Source organism: Homo sapiens, chromosome 21 (assembly GCF_000001405.40).
Source record: "Homo sapiens chromosome 21, GRCh38.p14 Primary Assembly".
Taxonomy (NCBI): domain Eukaryota; kingdom Metazoa; phylum Chordata; class Mammalia; order Primates; family Hominidae; genus Homo; species Homo sapiens.
The window spans coordinates 35,036,076-35,051,803 of record NC_000021.9 but is presented as its reverse complement, the minus strand read 5'-3'; the positions used below and the strand labels follow the sequence as shown (position 1 = coordinate 35,051,803).

General features: G+C 44.9%; 1 protein-coding gene and 1 long non-coding RNA gene across 14 annotated transcripts in view, besides 6 other annotated features; both read left to right on the top strand.

Moving 5' to 3' along the window:
• RUNX1 (RUNX family transcription factor 1) overlaps positions 2,502-15,728 on the top strand; it is a 261,502-nt gene continuing 248,275 nt past the window's right edge. For 5 of the 13 annotated variants that reach the window (XM_011529768.3, XM_011529767.3, XM_005261069.5 and 2 more), the window contains exons 1-2: positions 2,502-2,636; positions 2,846-2,962. In XM_011529768.3, the coding sequence (XP_011528070.1) occupies positions 2,905-2,962 (58 nt within the window). In that variant the 5' untranslated portion in view covers positions 2,502-2,636; positions 2,846-2,904. Of the gene's footprint in view, positions 2,963-15,728 lie in introns of all 13 variants that reach the window. The other 8 variants (XM_047441015.1, XM_047441010.1, XM_047441012.1 and 5 more) reach the window with 2 other exon arrangements.
• Positions 2,660-2,779: an enhancer, noted in NCBI's record as "active region_18417". NCBI's record gives its function as "activates an Ori minimal core promoter by ATAC-STARR-seq in GM12878 lymphoblastoid cells {active_cell/tissue: GM12878}" and the evidence as "EXISTENCE:reporter gene assay evidence [ECO:0000049][PMID:35858748]".
• Positions 3,140-3,279: an enhancer, noted in NCBI's record as "active region_18416". NCBI's record gives its function as "activates an Ori minimal core promoter by ATAC-STARR-seq in GM12878 lymphoblastoid cells {active_cell/tissue: GM12878}" and the evidence as "EXISTENCE:reporter gene assay evidence [ECO:0000049][PMID:35858748]".
• Positions 4,485-4,544: an enhancer, noted in NCBI's record as "active region_18415". NCBI's record gives its function as "activates an Ori minimal core promoter by ATAC-STARR-seq in GM12878 lymphoblastoid cells {active_cell/tissue: GM12878}" and the evidence as "EXISTENCE:reporter gene assay evidence [ECO:0000049][PMID:35858748]".
• Positions 5,526-5,575: a silencer, noted in NCBI's record as "silent region_13277". NCBI's record gives its function as "represses an Ori minimal core promoter by ATAC-STARR-seq in GM12878 lymphoblastoid cells {active_cell/tissue: GM12878}" and the evidence as "EXISTENCE:reporter gene assay evidence [ECO:0000049][PMID:35858748]".
• Positions 5,866-6,125: an enhancer, noted in NCBI's record as "active region_18414". NCBI's record gives its function as "activates an Ori minimal core promoter by ATAC-STARR-seq in GM12878 lymphoblastoid cells {active_cell/tissue: GM12878}" and the evidence as "EXISTENCE:reporter gene assay evidence [ECO:0000049][PMID:35858748]".
• Positions 7,126-7,225: an enhancer, noted in NCBI's record as "active region_18413". NCBI's record gives its function as "activates an Ori minimal core promoter by ATAC-STARR-seq in GM12878 lymphoblastoid cells {active_cell/tissue: GM12878}" and the evidence as "EXISTENCE:reporter gene assay evidence [ECO:0000049][PMID:35858748]".
• Positions 12,378-13,879, top strand: RUNX1-IT1 (RUNX1 intronic transcript 1). The gene has a single exon (NR_026812.1). It is a non-coding gene; the product is annotated as an RUNX1 intronic transcript 1 (long non-coding RNA).

The window sequence follows — 15,728 nt, the reverse complement described above, 5'->3', positions numbered from 1 at the left end:
CACAGTCCACTGCAGACTCTTGGGTACAATCCCCAAGCCAGAAACCCAGGGTCTGAGTCACTTGCAGGAACTAGGACAGAGGGTGTGGGTCAATACACAAACTTAAAGAGTCCTAAACCGTTCTAGTTAAGTTAGGATTAAGTATTTCTCCAGGCGGTTCATTGATGACAGACGTGCCCTTTTGTCTTGGGCTCCTAGGGAAGTGGTAAGGCCAAGTTCACCAGCAGCTGGCTGAGGCTTTACTTATTGTCATGACCTGGAGGGTGCCCAGAAAAGCTCCAACTGTTGCCTCACCAAGCTGCGAAGTTATGCTGCGGCTGCCGTGGCTGTTAACCCCGCCCAGGAAGGCCGTGCAGGGCCAGCGTGCAGGCCTTTGTATTCTGCCCCCTGGTGCCCTGTTGAAACCTCAGTCCCGAAGATGACAGCGTATAGTGAGGCTTCAACGAGCCCCAGCCTTAGAGTGTCTTTACACTCTAACCTGTCCTACAAAGACCCCACTGGAAGAAATAGATATCTGGCTAGAGCTAGGCCCAAAGAGAAAAGTTGAGAATTCAGGCCGTTCACTGCCTCATCCAAACCCTTCTCCTAAGCATCTGGACACCTAAGGCTAAAAGCATCTGGGGAGTTTCTAAAATTAAATCTCCCAAGGATATTCTGTATGGCCCCTTGAATTGCTAAGTCATTATTAAGTGTGAGTCGACTCTGCAGTGGCAGCTGCACATTACAGCCCTCGGCTCTTAGGGCCCTTCCAGGGAATATTAAGTGTGGGAGAGAAAAATGAACCTGGTTTGGGGTTCAACTCAGGCTTGACTTTATTAGGGAGGGTAACAACACAGGCCCATTATGTTCATTATGTTCACAGGGGATTTGCACTGAGAAGCAATATGAAACACGCATCACATTTAAAGATTCACGAGCCTCATAAAAGAGATGTAGCACTATTATTCTTTTTTAGATGTTAGCAGTGTCAACATGTGGCCAGCTAACTTCTCACAAGTGTAAGAGAAAGCGGTCTGTTGAGTTTCAATTCCTGCTTTAGTCAAAACAGGAGTAAGTAAAAATTGTGTCTGTTCCTTTTGAAAGACTTGTGCCATGGAAGCTACTATCGTTGTGGGTCTTTGTGTGTGTGAAATTAAGTGGATGAGGGAAAACCGAGGGAGTGTTGTGGGAGTTCAGCCTTTCTGAAGTGCCTGTGCTGGCTACTGCAGCTTAGAATCCAGGACTGGCATTTACAACCCATCATCACACAGGTTCTCTTGACCCTATGTGTCGAAATTTCACGTGCGCAGAGTGCTATGGCGGATGTAGGCAGAGCAGAGCCAAATGAATAAGGTAGTAAATCAGGAAAATAAGCCTTTCTTCATCTTGGAACTACAAAACAAAATGACGTTTTAGTTGTCAGCAGGTAAAGCCAGTGGGGCCGGAAAATGAAATACGTGTGACCACAGTGGTTTGCCCACTTACAAAATTATCCTGTTTTTAGCATCTTCAAACAGGCATGTCTTTCTAAGGTAGAGGACGCGCTATATAATATTCATTAGTCAGCCCCAGGAGAAGTGTCTCCTCCTGGTTCCCCTTCTATTGTGGCATCCTCATGTGCTCAAAGTGTAGTTTTACCTACAGGTGTAAATTAGCCTATTGATTTGAATTGAACTAGAGAAAGGCAATACAGGGAGCTTTCCCAAGTGACAATACAAATAAACATCTGCAGAGTAACCACTGCTTTGTCCCAAATACAGAAATTCTCTCTGCTTTGTTTTCCTTTAGCTTCCTAATTTGTGTGTGTGTGTGTGTGTGTGTGTGTGTGTGTGTGTGTGTTAAGACTGTACTATGATTTTATCTCTTTACTGAAAGAGATACATACTAAAGTTGTCCATTTAGGGGGAATAAAACCACATAATTTTGGTTTCATTAAAACAGTCCTTTTATTTCAAAAGTAAAATTCTTTCCCTTTCCCAGGCTTTAAAATACCTGTGAGTTGCCAGCCCGTTGTAGGGGTCAGACTCTCACCAAAACATTTCTTTTTATTTATTTTTCCCTTTTATAGTTTCACTTATGCCATGATAGACGTTACCAAGGACTTAACTCTCCCGGAGCTGATGCCTAGCATTTTAAATGATGGGATCCACATCCTGTCGGAGCAGCGGCTTGATGCCAGCGTTGAATTACTATTGAATAAGCAGCAATGAAATCTTTATCAAAATAATCAGTAGTTCCAAAAACCACAAATAACAACAGGAGCCGAGTTGTACTAAATCAGCAAAGACCATTGAGATATAATAAGTGACTGAGTCACTTTTTTCTACATCCCCCCCTCTTGCAAAGTCTACTCGGCTATTTTCTTGCACAGCCTGGGGGAGGGCAGGTGGAGGGAAGGAAGGGCATTGCTCAGAAAAGAAAAAAAAAAATTGACATCACTTAAGTCACATGATTGGCAAGAACCAATTGAGATGGGCTGTGGAAAGGGGAACAGTTAAATTTGTAATTTGGGTTGTGTGAAAACTTCTTTGGGCCTCATAAACAACCACAGAACCACAAGTTGGGTAGCCTGGCAGTGTCAGAAGTCTGAACCCAGCATAGTGGTCAGCAGGCAGGACGAATCACACTGAATGCAAACCACAGGGTTTCGCAGCGTGGTGAGCATCACCAACCCACAGCCAAGGCGGCGCTGGCTTTTTTTTTTTTTTTAATCTTTAACAATTTGAATATTTGTTTTTACAAAGGTGCATTTTTTAATAGGGCTTGGGGAGTCCCAGAGGTATCCAGCAGAGGGGAGAAGAAAGAGAGATGTAGGGCTAGAGGGGTGAGGCTGAAACAGTGACCTGTCTTGGTTTTCGCTCCGAAGGTAAAAGAAATCATTGAGTCCCCCGCCTTCAGAAGAGGGTGCATTTTCAGGAGGAAGCGATGGCTTCAGACAGCATATTTGAGTCATTTCCTTCGTACCCACAGTGCTTCATGAGAGGTGAGTACATGCTGGTCTTGTAATATCTACTTTTGCTCAGCTTTGCCTGTAATGAAATGGCAGCTTGTTTCACCTCGGTGCAGAGATGCCTCGGTGCCTGCCAGTTCCCTGTCTTGTTTGTGAGAGGAATTCAAACTGAGGCATATGATTACAAGTCTATTGGATTACTTACTAATCAGATGGAAGCTCTTCAGAAATGTTTTAATAAATACTTAGTTATGCTGTTGGAGTGTTCAGTCGGTGCGTGAGAACTTTGTCAAGTGCGAGTAAGTTGTGCTGGTCTTGTTTAAAGGCTTAGAGATTATGAAGCTTGCACGAAGCTCCCTGGGTTTTATTTTGCTGTCCCTTGCCCGGAATGCCTGTGTCTGAGTTATCCTTAACTCGGCATGCTGTGTGGCCCAGAATGCAGCCTGCCCTGGGGCTTAGCAGGCACATGCACAGAGCCAGCCAGGAGGGCTGGTGCCAGTGTGGGGCAGGAGGCGGAGGCTCTCAGATAGCCTTGCACCAGCCTGGGGACTTCAGGGCCAAAGTGGCAAGGCAGCTGTCTCTATAAGGCAGAGAGTACAGGAGACTGACAGACTTGGTTAGGTTAAAATCATCAGCATGGGGCTGTGCTGTGTTTTTCCTTGTAGCCTCAATGCAAAGAGACAACCAGCATCTTTCAAGAGAGAAAGGAAGCAAATTGTGGCATACCGAGGTCTCTCTGGAAAAGGGCAATAGAGAAGTTTCCCGAGTTAAGCATTCTCGCAGCTTAAGTCGTTAGATTACAGGCTTATGAATAGGAACAGCCAGGGTGGAAAACCTGTCTCCATTTTTGAAACCAGCCTCTTGAAATGGACAAAGCTGTGGTTGAGCTGTGAGTGTGTGAGTATGTGTGTGCATGTGCGTCTTGTGTATCTTTCGTGGTAAAAGAGGGCTGTGCTTAAACAAACAAAAATAATAACATAAAATGTCTCAAAGGCATTGCCGTGTGCGTCGGGGCACGCACTCTGACCAGTGCCTGCAAAGTGTATCTTGATGGTTTGGCAAAGCTGAGATGGAGTGGGCTGGGATGGGAGAATAATTAATTTTCTGGCTACAAACTCTCTTGAGCACCCAAATTGTATCTGTGACTCATTATTTATTCATACAGCTAAGTGAGCAGGGGAATGCAGAGGGCTTGCCGGCCACTTTATCACAGCAAATGCTATTGTGAATGCACGGGGCTGTATGTTTCCGGGTCCCTGAAATTAAAAAACTTGATGAGAGAGAGAGAGAGAGAGAGAGAGAGAGAGAGAGAGTGTGTGTGTGTGTGTGTGTGTGTGTGTGTGTGTGTGTGTGTGTGTGTTGGAGATGGCAAGAGAGAAGTTAAAGAGAAAGAGAAGAAAACAAGTCATTAACCAAGCTCAAGTTTCAAATTAAAGAGTTTTCAAGTGCTTCTTTACTGGCAGCAGAGGGAATTTTAGTGAAGTTGAATCATGCAGACGTGCGTTAGTCACTAGTCTTGCAGCGTCGTTTGGTTGGTAACACAGAGACACCGGCCACTGGTGAAAAGCTGCAAACGGCTCCCTGGCTGCATTTCCTCTGGGCTGCTAACAAGCAGAGGAAGCAATATTTGTATAGAATAACAGAAAAAAAAGATCTTCCTGGCTTTACTCTGCTTTCAGTACCCCCTCAGAACGTGTATTGTTTCCTATTTTATCAACTCAGGAAGGCAGATTCAGGAAATTTTTAAGCATTCCATTGAGCAATAGGTTGGGTTTCAGTGTGCAGTGCTGGCCCCTGGGGCTCTCCTTACTGGCCAACGGCAAAGATGGTGAGGGACACGCTGAGCTATGCAGACATCAGGAAATAGCAGGAGTCTGGCTATCTCCCGGACAAGCCCAGGGCTCCTGTGCCCGATGGACACTCAGCTGACCTGCGCTAGGTTAGGAACAAGGGTCGGTTAGCTTTCACGGAGGCAGTGTAGGGAGGGCCTGAGCTCGCACCAAGACTCAAAAGGGATCATCTGGAAAGGTTTTTCCACTCCTTCCTTTCAGTGAAAGGAACTCAGGGTTCTTTAGAATCTCTAATTTGGTAATATAATATTGAGATTTGATGTCAGAGGGCCAAGTGAAATCTTGGCAATTTCCTGGTTAATTTCATCCAAGTGATCCATCAACATAAAGGTTTAAATTGTCCAGGTTAACTGTCCACATCATTCACCCAAGCCGGAGAGGTAGCAAAATATCATTTCTTTTGATACCGTTTGGTCATCATCTTAGAGCTTGATGCTAGAAGAATCACCATCCCTGCCAACAAATGGCTCTCCCCCAGAGTTCTCAGCCTGTTGCCATAGCTGGGCCACTCGCAGTGGTCAATGCGGTCACTTCTGGCTGCCTATAATTTACAGCGTGTGTTCCCTCCCCAACGGCAACTGTGAGCCGAAAGGGAAGACAGCATCTTTGTTTTCTTCCTGGGATGGTACTTTATCAGTCCATGCAATTCTCACAGAAGGAAACCTGTAACTCATTTTTAGCCAGATACCCATGTGGAAATTGGGGGGAAAGAGAGGAGTGAAGCCAAGCAAACCATTGTTCCCTTCCTTGAGAGAGGCAAGCCGGAGTCTGAGAGACTGGCACATGAAATTGATGTGGTCTACCACAGAGAACTCGGGGCTTTTTCTATCACACCACACCAGGTTCCCACCGAATTTGCTTAGGAAGGAAGACAAGATGCGATTGAAATTCCCTGGAATTATCACACACGGTGTGCAACGTACAATTCTTGCCGAACCCAAACTTGGGTTCCCTTGAAAAGTGCAGTGTGTCGGCAGAAAGAGTTGAGGTAGGTGTGGGGAGGAAAAGCCTCGGCACGTACATATTTTTGCAAAATGGCTCAGGTAGCCTTGTTCTTAGAAGTGGCTTAGTGGTCTATGCAAAGCCTGAACACTCACATGCCTCTGCGTTCCTAGAACCACAGGTAAAAATCTCAGCGAGACCGACTCCCTGCTTGTCTTCTCAGCGGTTCAAGTTTACCCCACTGAAGCAGTCTTTCAAAGGGAATTGCCAAGTACAAAGCTGCATGTATAAAGTATGTTCTTCTCTAAGCATCGGCTTGCCGCTCTTTTCAGAAGAATATTTATTAAGACACTTCTTCTGGCTTGACTGAACACTTAAGATCTTAAGACTTCAGGCTTAAGCCACAGAAATTTATTTTCACACAGTTCTGGAGGGAGACTGGAGGTGTGAGATCAAGGTGTCGGCAAGGCTGATTTCTGGTGAGGCCTCTCTCCTTGGTTTTGCAGACAGCTCCCTTCTCCCTGTTTCATCACATGGTTATCCCTCTGTGTGTGTCTGTATCCTAATCTCTTCTTATAAGGATACCAATTGCATTGTATTGGGGCTAGCCTAATGACGTCATTTTAAAACCCTATGTCCAAATAGTGTCAAATTATGAGCACCTTGGGGTTAGGACTTCAATGTATTAATTCTAGGGAGACATACTGCAGTCCCTAACAGTGGGTCTTAGCAAATCTGACCCACCCTGGCCCACAAGGAAACTGTGGGATGGGGCATCCTGGCTGCTCTCTTGGATGTTAAAGAATCAGACTGTAGTTCCTCCTTTGTGAGATGGAGTTTCACATCTGAAACTGCCCACACATTTTGAAACTATAAAAAAAAAAGGTGTGATAAAACTATCTAAACTCACAATCATGCCTTTGCCATTTAGACTTTTTGCACGCTAAGAAACTGTAGAAAATGACGAGTAATTTTGAAATGTTTAAGTGTTAAAAGAGCAAATGGCAGCCGCCCCAAAGAAACCTCCTCTTGGCTCTGCTTTCTTGGGGAGGATTGTCTTTGTACTTCAGACTGACTTTATTAGTGGGGTTTAGGGGGCTGTAGGAGGCCCCACAGCTGCTCACACACCGAGTACAGGGGCATGGAGCAACCAGTAGCAGAAGCACCTTTGGAAACAGCAACTGACCCGATTCTGAATGGCAAGAAGCCTTTCTGAGCTTTTGAAAGCAAATGAGTAGCTGAGACGTTCCTACATTCTCTCAAAATAGATCCGAAAGATGTGCTCAGAAAATATGTAGCCCTTTACTGAGAAATCAAGCCTGGTGAGATGCTGGGACAGAGGACGGCTGCACAGCCGCTGTGCACACACAGACTTTAATAAGGAGCCCAAGGCCTAGAGAGAAGAGTCTGGAGGCATAAGAGCACCTGCTATTAGAGAAAGCAATGGCAGGAGGTCTGTGCAGGGAATGTGCTCAGATGACACAGTGATGGCCTTTTCTTTCTTTTCTTTTTTCTGGCTTTCATCAAATAGCATATAGAACTTCTCTCTTGAGCCTTAGTTTCCTCATCTGCAGAGTAAGGATTGCAATAGTACCTGTTATTAAGGTAGCTGTGTGGACCGAATTAATCTGTGTAAGGTGCTTTGCCCAGCCATATAAAGTAAGCAATAAATCTGAATGGTGGCTATCAATGTTCAGTTATCTAAGAAGGCAGCCAGTCAACCGCTGTCTGCTCTAGGGAGGGAGAGGTCACAATGCCCTGGAGGACATTACAGGAGGCTCCCTGGAGAGAGGGACACAGGAGTTGGGGGAGGGGAAGTTGGGAACAAAGGAAAGAAGGAAGAGTGGTCTAGGCCGAGAGTACAGCCTGGGCAAAGTTAGAGCTGCAGGATCCCACATGGGCATGGACAGCAGTGGGTAACTCAGTCCACCCTAAGGGCTTTTCACCAGCAGGTCAGCCTTCCTTCCCTTGTGGAAAAAGAACGAGAGCCCTTTATGAAATTCAACTTAACAAGTTTTGATTTTAAATATGGAGGCTAGTTGGGGCAGGATGTCATGCTAAGTCTTTGATCTGAACACACAAGGACAACAGAGATGTCTCTTTTCATTGAGACTGCTGGTGTAGCTTTATTTTCTCCAAGGCTCTTCTTAAGGAAAAGGCCATTTTGCCTGTATACCTTTGAGCAGGTTCTCTGGGCCTCTGAGAGACTCCCATTTTCCCTGCTCCTTGGGAACATTTGTAATCATGTACTTTGTCAAAGCCCAGACATGAAGGTAGCTTTGATGGCTTGTCTTGTTGGAGGCAGCAGAGGAGGCCCACACAGGAAACTCAAGCAAATTTTCAGTTTCTCAGGTAACTTCCTAGTGACCTAGATGAGTCAATAGATGTCTTTGTGTCTCATTTGAGTTCTGCAAAATGGGCTAATAATATTCTAGACAAGCTTGCATCTAAATTACCAAGTTCCTGTTGGAAGTCTTTACATGCATCAGAAAGAGGTACCATAAAACACATCACAAATCTTCTTAGCTTAATAACACAAAGCCACTTAAAAATATTTTATTTTCTGTTTAGAAAATAGTTCTCCCATCATTTCACAAATGCAAGATATTTTCCCTCATTTTCGTAATTGCTTTCTCCAACTCCCATTTTTCAAGAAATCTTCAGAAGCTACACTGGTGCCTGAACAGATATTAAAATGTTCAAAGCACTTTTCCCACAACTCTTGTTTCTCGGCCTCCCCTGCTCCTCCCCATCAGATGCCACCAGTCCCCTTCTTTAGCCTTTTTGCTGAGCCTCCAGCCAAGGCAAAGAGGTATGTCTTTCTTGACCTCTTCCCTCTCATAAAATATAATAACTAGGATGTCCTGGAGTGGTAAAAAGGGAGCATTTCCTTTGAGATCTTTGCTGACCGTGAACACAATCAGGGAGTACTTTACGAGAACACAGGCTGGCTCTTGAACACAAAACAGGGCTCAAAACCTCCTGTCACCTTCAACATGCTGGGAGGATAAGCTCAGACACACTGCTCTCACTTGCGCAGGCTTCACTCTTTGTTGGGGAGACACGTGTTATACTCTCTTGGCTCTCTGAATCTCTCTCTTTCTCTCCCTCCCTCATCTTGCAATAACACTGAGTAATGATGCCAGAAAGGAGCCAAGGTGGAGGAATAAACACTAAATCCGAAACATGACGGAAATTATGTATTTTATTGCAGTGACAGAAAGAGTAAGGCCCTTGCTCAGGTTTACCCATGAAAATTATGTTTGGCTGCACGTAGAGAAAAGCTGACCACAGTGGCTTGAGCAGACGGGCAGGAGTTCCAGAGTGAGCAGTCCAGGCTGATACGGTGGGGTGCAGGACACTCCTATGTTTTGGTCCCACCATGCTGAGGCCAGGGAGAGATGGCCTGCACCTCTGATCTGTCCAGGCAGAAAGGACATGGGAGGCCTCAACCCCTTCTTGTGGGTCCTGGTATTTTTATTCAGGAAGGGAAGCCCTTCTCTGCAAACTTTCGCTGACATATTGCTTAGGCCACAACTAGGTCACAGGCCTCTGGCTGGAGGGAACTGAGGACAATGGAGTTGTCACTTTCCAGCCTGGAGAGTGGAGGGAAGCAGAGAGGAAGGTAGCTGGGAGCAGATGTCTCGTGAACCCAGAGCCACATCTGCCAGACCTGGTGACAAAGACAGGCTGTGTGCCTTCCCAGTCATATCTTGTATCATTTGTTTTCTGTGCCAGCTGGGCTTTGGAAACAAATGCAGAGAAACTTTATGTTCTTCCTTCATTCCCTCTTGGAAGTTGCAGATGGATGCCAAGGGTGAATATTTATTGTTGACCCATTGAAAGCAAACTGGACAGGAGAAGGGATGAGGTGGGGGAAGGGGCTAGGTTAAATGGATCCAAGTTCACACCTATTTTCAGTGTCAAAGCCCCAAATCACACTTGAGCGTCTCCTCAAGTTAGAATGAGCAATAGAAAACCAGACAGCCCTGTATCTATGGGAATGTTGCTTGCATCAGAGCCACCACACCTTGCTGTGAGGTTGATCGGTTTCTCGCAGCTGGAAATAGTTGCTTCCCGCCCCCCATCTTCCTCACTCTTTTAAACTCTCAAAAATCCCCCAGCCTCCCAAATTTGTTTTAATTTTTAAGAGAATTCTTTTCTACAAAAGAGGGAAACCTTCTTTCAAATGGCCCTTCATAAATTTCCCTAAAGAGGTTTTTATCTCTGATAGAAATATGAAAAACAGATAACCAGATAATTGCCCTCTATCTAGGCTTTAAACACTTATTCATACATTGAATTTCTGCAAGTTACAGATGATTGTTGCTGTGTGATTACTGGCCCTGTCTATTTCCTCAGCATGGATGCAAATCTTTCTCCCTGAGAAAGTCATTGCTTCGTTAAAAAAAAAAAAAAAAAGAAAGAAAGAAAAAGAAGAAAGAAAGGATGAATGAAAAGAAAGTTGTTATTCAGTTTTTCTCTTGAAATTAGAAATTTCTTTTTGTTTTGCTTTCATTTTGTTTTTCTGCAAGATCGGTGTTCATTTAGAGAATTGTTGATTTTGTATGCAGCACTGCCCTCCCATGCCATGGTCCATATGTGTCCATTTTTTGATGGACTTCTTTTTAAACAATGAGTTCCCCAAGACATTTTTGGGGCCTCAAATGGGAAAGGTCATCACAAATAGAAATCTCAGTTTGCTAGTTGGGCTTGCTCAATCGCTCTGCTGATCTCAGGACTGATGCTGCTTTGCATAAATGCGAAGTTCATGTTAAATTGATTCTAAATCAAATACTCAACGTATTCAGTCTTGAAACATGTCCATTGGGAGAGAGAACTATGCAGCTCCAACATTTTGCAAAGATTCTACTTTGCTTTCTTTGCCAACATCCAACTTTTACTTCTGGGCGTTAGAATACCCTCCGTAGAGACTGTGACTTCTCAAAAGAAACTTTGCTAGTCTCGAATGGAGAATGAAATAATAAGATTTGAGCAATAAATCAAATATAGCCTGAGAGCAACACCACAGAGCAGCCTCTGTCATCTCCTCTCCTTGGGAGGTACGTGGGTCTTGATCAGCTCTCATGTGCTTCTGAAAATGTGTAGGTTTTCATATATATGTTTTTCATTGTTAGTAGATCCTAAAGAAAGACCCAGAAAATCTTGCAGCAGTCAGCTTGCCAGATGGGGGTTATGTTAAAAAGAGCAAACAGAAGTCAGAGCTCTGAACACACCGCAGGGTATTCCATAGTCACATTCCATTGTGGGTGAGTTTTTGTTGTTGGTTTTTTTTTTTTTTTTTTTTTTTGGATGGAGTCTACTAGCTCTGTCACCAGGCTGGAGTGCAGTGGCCCCATCTCAGCTCACTGCAATCTCCGCCTCCCACGTTCAGCCATTCTCCTGCCTCAGCCTCCTGAGTAGCTGGGATTACAGGTGTGTGCCACCACGCCCGGCTAATTTTTGTATTTTTAGTAGAGACAGGTTTTCACCATGTTGGCCAGGATGGTTTCGATCTCCCGACCTCGTGATCTGCCCGCCTCAGCCTCCCAAAATGCTGGGATTACAGGTATGAGCCACTGCACCCGGCCCATCCTAGGTGAGTTTTTTAAGGGAGACAAAAAATGTCAGAGTGGCACTCATTGCTCAAGAGAGAAGCACTTCCCCTTTTACTGTGCAAAATTTTATAATATGTATAGCTATCAATGTTTGTTTCTTATTACTGCCCCAGAATGTGCAAAAGAGAGTTTAGGTCAACTAAGATACATTGGTTTGAGTGCCATTTTTTTCAGGAGCAGTTTTAACACCAACCACAGTTTGCTGCACTTTCTTACACAGCTTCTGTTTGCACTTTGAACTCTGTGCACTGAGCCCCTCATTCCACACCATCTGCAGGCTGCATCTGGGCAGCTTCATCCAGCTCGGTAACAGTCACAGCTGAACTTGACATTCACCCACTTTGAAAGTATAGAATTCATAAAATCTGAAACCACATATGTGTATAAAACCCATGCAAGAGTGGGTAGGAACTAAAAGGAGGAGAAAAAGTAGTCCTCCCCTTCAGGAGTGTTCTCTCTTATCCCAGCCCCTTTCATGTAATGAATGGGTGAATGGGTGAAAATGAAATTATTTAGGCATTGACTGACAGGTAGGAACAGAAACTCAGGCTTCTAGTTTATTATTATTTATTATTATTGAATCTACTGTTTCTAAAGATGAGAATGGCTTTTACTTCCAAAGTTCTAGAGGAGAGGAACAACGTTAAGCAACCTTAAACAAATATTAGCACTGTGAAAGGTGCAGGGTCATATAAAGAAGTAGAAGTGCCGACAATGAAAATTCTATCCAACTGTCAATCATTCCATATCATTACTTCATTTTTTTAAATAAAGGCTGTGTCTCCCATATGCTTCCCTCCAGGTTGTATTCAAAACAAAGAAATAATTGTATTACAGATGTGAATAAATCTGTTTAAAAAATAAGTGAACCCTGAGACATATGAACTATGAGACATTGTTCTATATGATGCTTTGTAAGTTTTATGTGCTGTGTCATAGAGTTATATAGAGTTATGTATATATATAGTTCTGTATAGTTTCAGTTGGCATCTAAAAATTATATAACTTTATTTTTTAAAATCTATAATTATAAATATTTTTAAACTGCTAGAAAGGAAGAGCCGAATATTTGGCTGGAGTGATTTTTAGACATTTCTCTACCTTAGGGCACCAGAGAGGTTCACTTGCCCAGGGTTCCATAGCTGGTTGGTGCCAGAGTCCGAACGAGAAACCAGGTCTTCTCAGCTCCTGTCACCCACAGTTTTGCAGACACTGAATTTATGAGGTGGATTCCATTCAAGCATGCACATAACTAGCAGACACTTCTCCTAATCCTCCTCAATTCCCCTTTGCATTGCTCAGATACCACAATCCTTTGCAGGTTAAATCCCTTCACCTTGTGAACTCATTAGGCAGGGCAATGTATATGAATCCCTGAGTCCTTAAGAACGTCCTTAGGCTGTGTTAGAAATGCAGTTGCCATAGGAGTAACCGGCCCCTGCTGTCATTTGGATGTTCTCTCTTCCCCAAAATCCAGCACCACCTTGGTTAAGCACCCACCATGTGCCTGCCCACCTGGCTCCTTAGGCAATGTTACAATTAACCAGGTTGGTTTTGATGAGGGTCTAGGGCAAAATTTGAACCACCACAACAGCCAATGTGCACATCCATGCAGAGGGTTCAGAGATGGCCTCGGCCAAGGCTGCCAGGCTTCAGCTCTGGAAGGAGCCCTGGGAAGTGGGAGATCTTTGTATAAAAATTGGAACCCAAACTATAATTCCCATTAGGGATATATATGCTCACATCACTCCTGATTCAAAGCTCAGAAGTGGCCTCTCAGGAGAAATAAAGGTCTCTCTCTCTCTCTCTCTCTATCTCACACACACACACACACACACACACACACACACAGAGAGAGAGAGAGAGAGAGAGAGAGAGAGAGAGAGAGAGAGGCCAGCATTCAAAATTCCCATGCTTAGGGAATCCATTGGGACTTCTCCCCAGGATGTACTGAATTCAAGGAAGCTTTCTCTAGGTGTAGCAGAAACTGCTGCTGTCATGTCTCTGCTCACCAGGACGTAGCTTCTCTCTACAGACCTTTATTTCTTTCCCTGGAGGCTTCAGTCCATGTTGAAGTGTAAACTCCACTCAGCTCCAGGAGGAATCGTGTTTTCTTTATCACCAGGGGCTTCTTCTACGAGTTGCCTTTGATAGGGAGGCCAGGAGGAAGATAGGCCCAAGCTCAGGGGTGGGATCGGGGAGCAGGAAGCCTGTGGGCTTTAGAATCGAGGTATTGGTTTCTCCCTGTCACCATCATCCACCACCTGTGTGAACTTGAGCCATTTATCGAACCTCACGGAGCCCCAAGTTTCTCATCTGTAAACAAGGGGAATGAGCCCTACTTTGTATGGTTGTCAAGAGGATTTGAGACAATATGTATAAAGCAATGGACACGCAGAGGAAGTCAATAAGTACAAGGTAACTCTGAAAATGCCACCAAAGGGAGGCTAGGGACAGGAAAGCCATCTCCGCCAACCTCAAGAACGTGGCCCCGAAGCTGTTCCAGGAACTGGGCATGTATGAAGATAAAAAAAAAAAAAGAAATGTCTGCCTCTCTCATCATGTAGCAGTGCAGAAGTGATCTTGGTGCTCTTTGGCAGAAGGCTGAGTTTATGAACTTTAAAACCGATAGTAATAACAGCTAGCATTTATTGAGCATATGCTATGCGCAAGGCACTTGCACCGTTCCAAGCATTTTCTTGCCTTACTGTATTAAAATTTTGGCACAACCCTGTGAGTAGGTGCTCTCATTATTAATCCCACTGAGTGAAGGGGAAGCATGGCCTGCCAAGGTTACGTGACCTGCTTGTGGTTAGGCTGCTGGGAAAGGTGGAGGTGCGGTCCAAACAGAGGCAGTTCCTGCAGCAGAGCCCACTGTCTGTCTGCCCGTGGAGGGGACAGGTCGGTGTTGAGAATATCTGTTTGGCACATGAGGGAGTTTAGCCTTACAGAGCGAAAGGCTTGCCAAGGCCCCATGGACAGGAGGCGACGCTGTGGGGTGGCACCAAGCTGGGGCACTGGCCACCATCCTGGACTGCTTTTCTGACTCTGGATGCATTTGGTGGCTTTATGGCCCCACCACTGGTATCCAGACCTCTCCTGCCCACGTGTTTCTCCCATCAGAACTGAGAGAGATGTTCAGGCAGTTCCCAGACAGCCCACAAGAAACACGCCTTTAAGCCAGGGGTGCTCAAACTTGTTCCCAAGACGATGGTGACATGCTGGGGTGGGGAGAAACCACTGCTATGCCTTCTTCCTGACCGACCAGTTGTTTTCATTTATCAATCTGAGAATCCATCGAAGGTGATATCAGGGTGACATAAATGAGGCACTTCCTGTGACAAACTTAAGGCGACACTTGCTCCCATTGTTGTACAAGGCTGACCTTGCATTTACATGGGCTTGAGAGCGCACCACCTTGAATTTTGTGTCCCAGGTATATCTCTTGCCCTGTCCCAGTCCAGGCCATGGAACACATGTACAGAAGAAACCACAGAGTGATGTACCCAGCAATCAGGGGCCTGCCACCTGAGTCCCTCCTTCAGGGGTGGACCACCCCAACCCTGACTGACCCTAGCCAGGGTTTTCCGTGAAGCTTGCCCCAAACACTTCTCATCCACTTATTCCTGAGGCTAAAATAAAAATCGTAGCCAGAAGCAGTTGTTTCAGCTGTGATAGCAAGCAGTGGCCTCAGTCACTCATGTAAACAGGACCTCATACCACTAAGTGTCAGTGGCATAACAAGAGTTGAGATGCACACGCCTACTGGTTGGCCTTTGAGAATGGCCTTTCTGCAGAGGCATTTGTCATTTCACAAAGTCCATGTCACCAGTCCTCTGACATCATGATAATTCCTTTTGTCAAGAAGTTGGGGTTTTTTTCCCCTTCTTTTCCCCCTTCACCTTTATTGTATAAAAGGCATTTCTCCTCTGGTTATTCTACAACAGACTACTTCAGAGTCACAGAAAGTTCCTTCCCTTTCTGGAGGGGTTCGGCATGCTGAAGGATGCAATCATAAATGACTTTCTCCCCGCAAAGCCTGCTCACAGCCAGCCATGTGAGTGCCCTGATCAATGGAAATGCAGGGGGCTGGCCAGCCTCTCACGGCTGCTCTGCAAACATCTTAATGGGACAAATTAAAAGATGTGCAAGCTAATTATTCTCCACAATAAACAATAATAATATAATAAAATCATAAAGCTCCTTAGGAAAGGAACCTGCTTTTCTTATACAGAATGTACAATTAACAGGAAAGTAAAAATTTCATGCTATAAACTAGAGATTATATTCTGGGCATCCTTGTGATTTGCTGTGCTTCTTCCGGCTTATTTAGCACTTTCTGCACACACGCCAGGGCTCGGTGGCCCACCTGCTCCCTGCTCCCTCTTC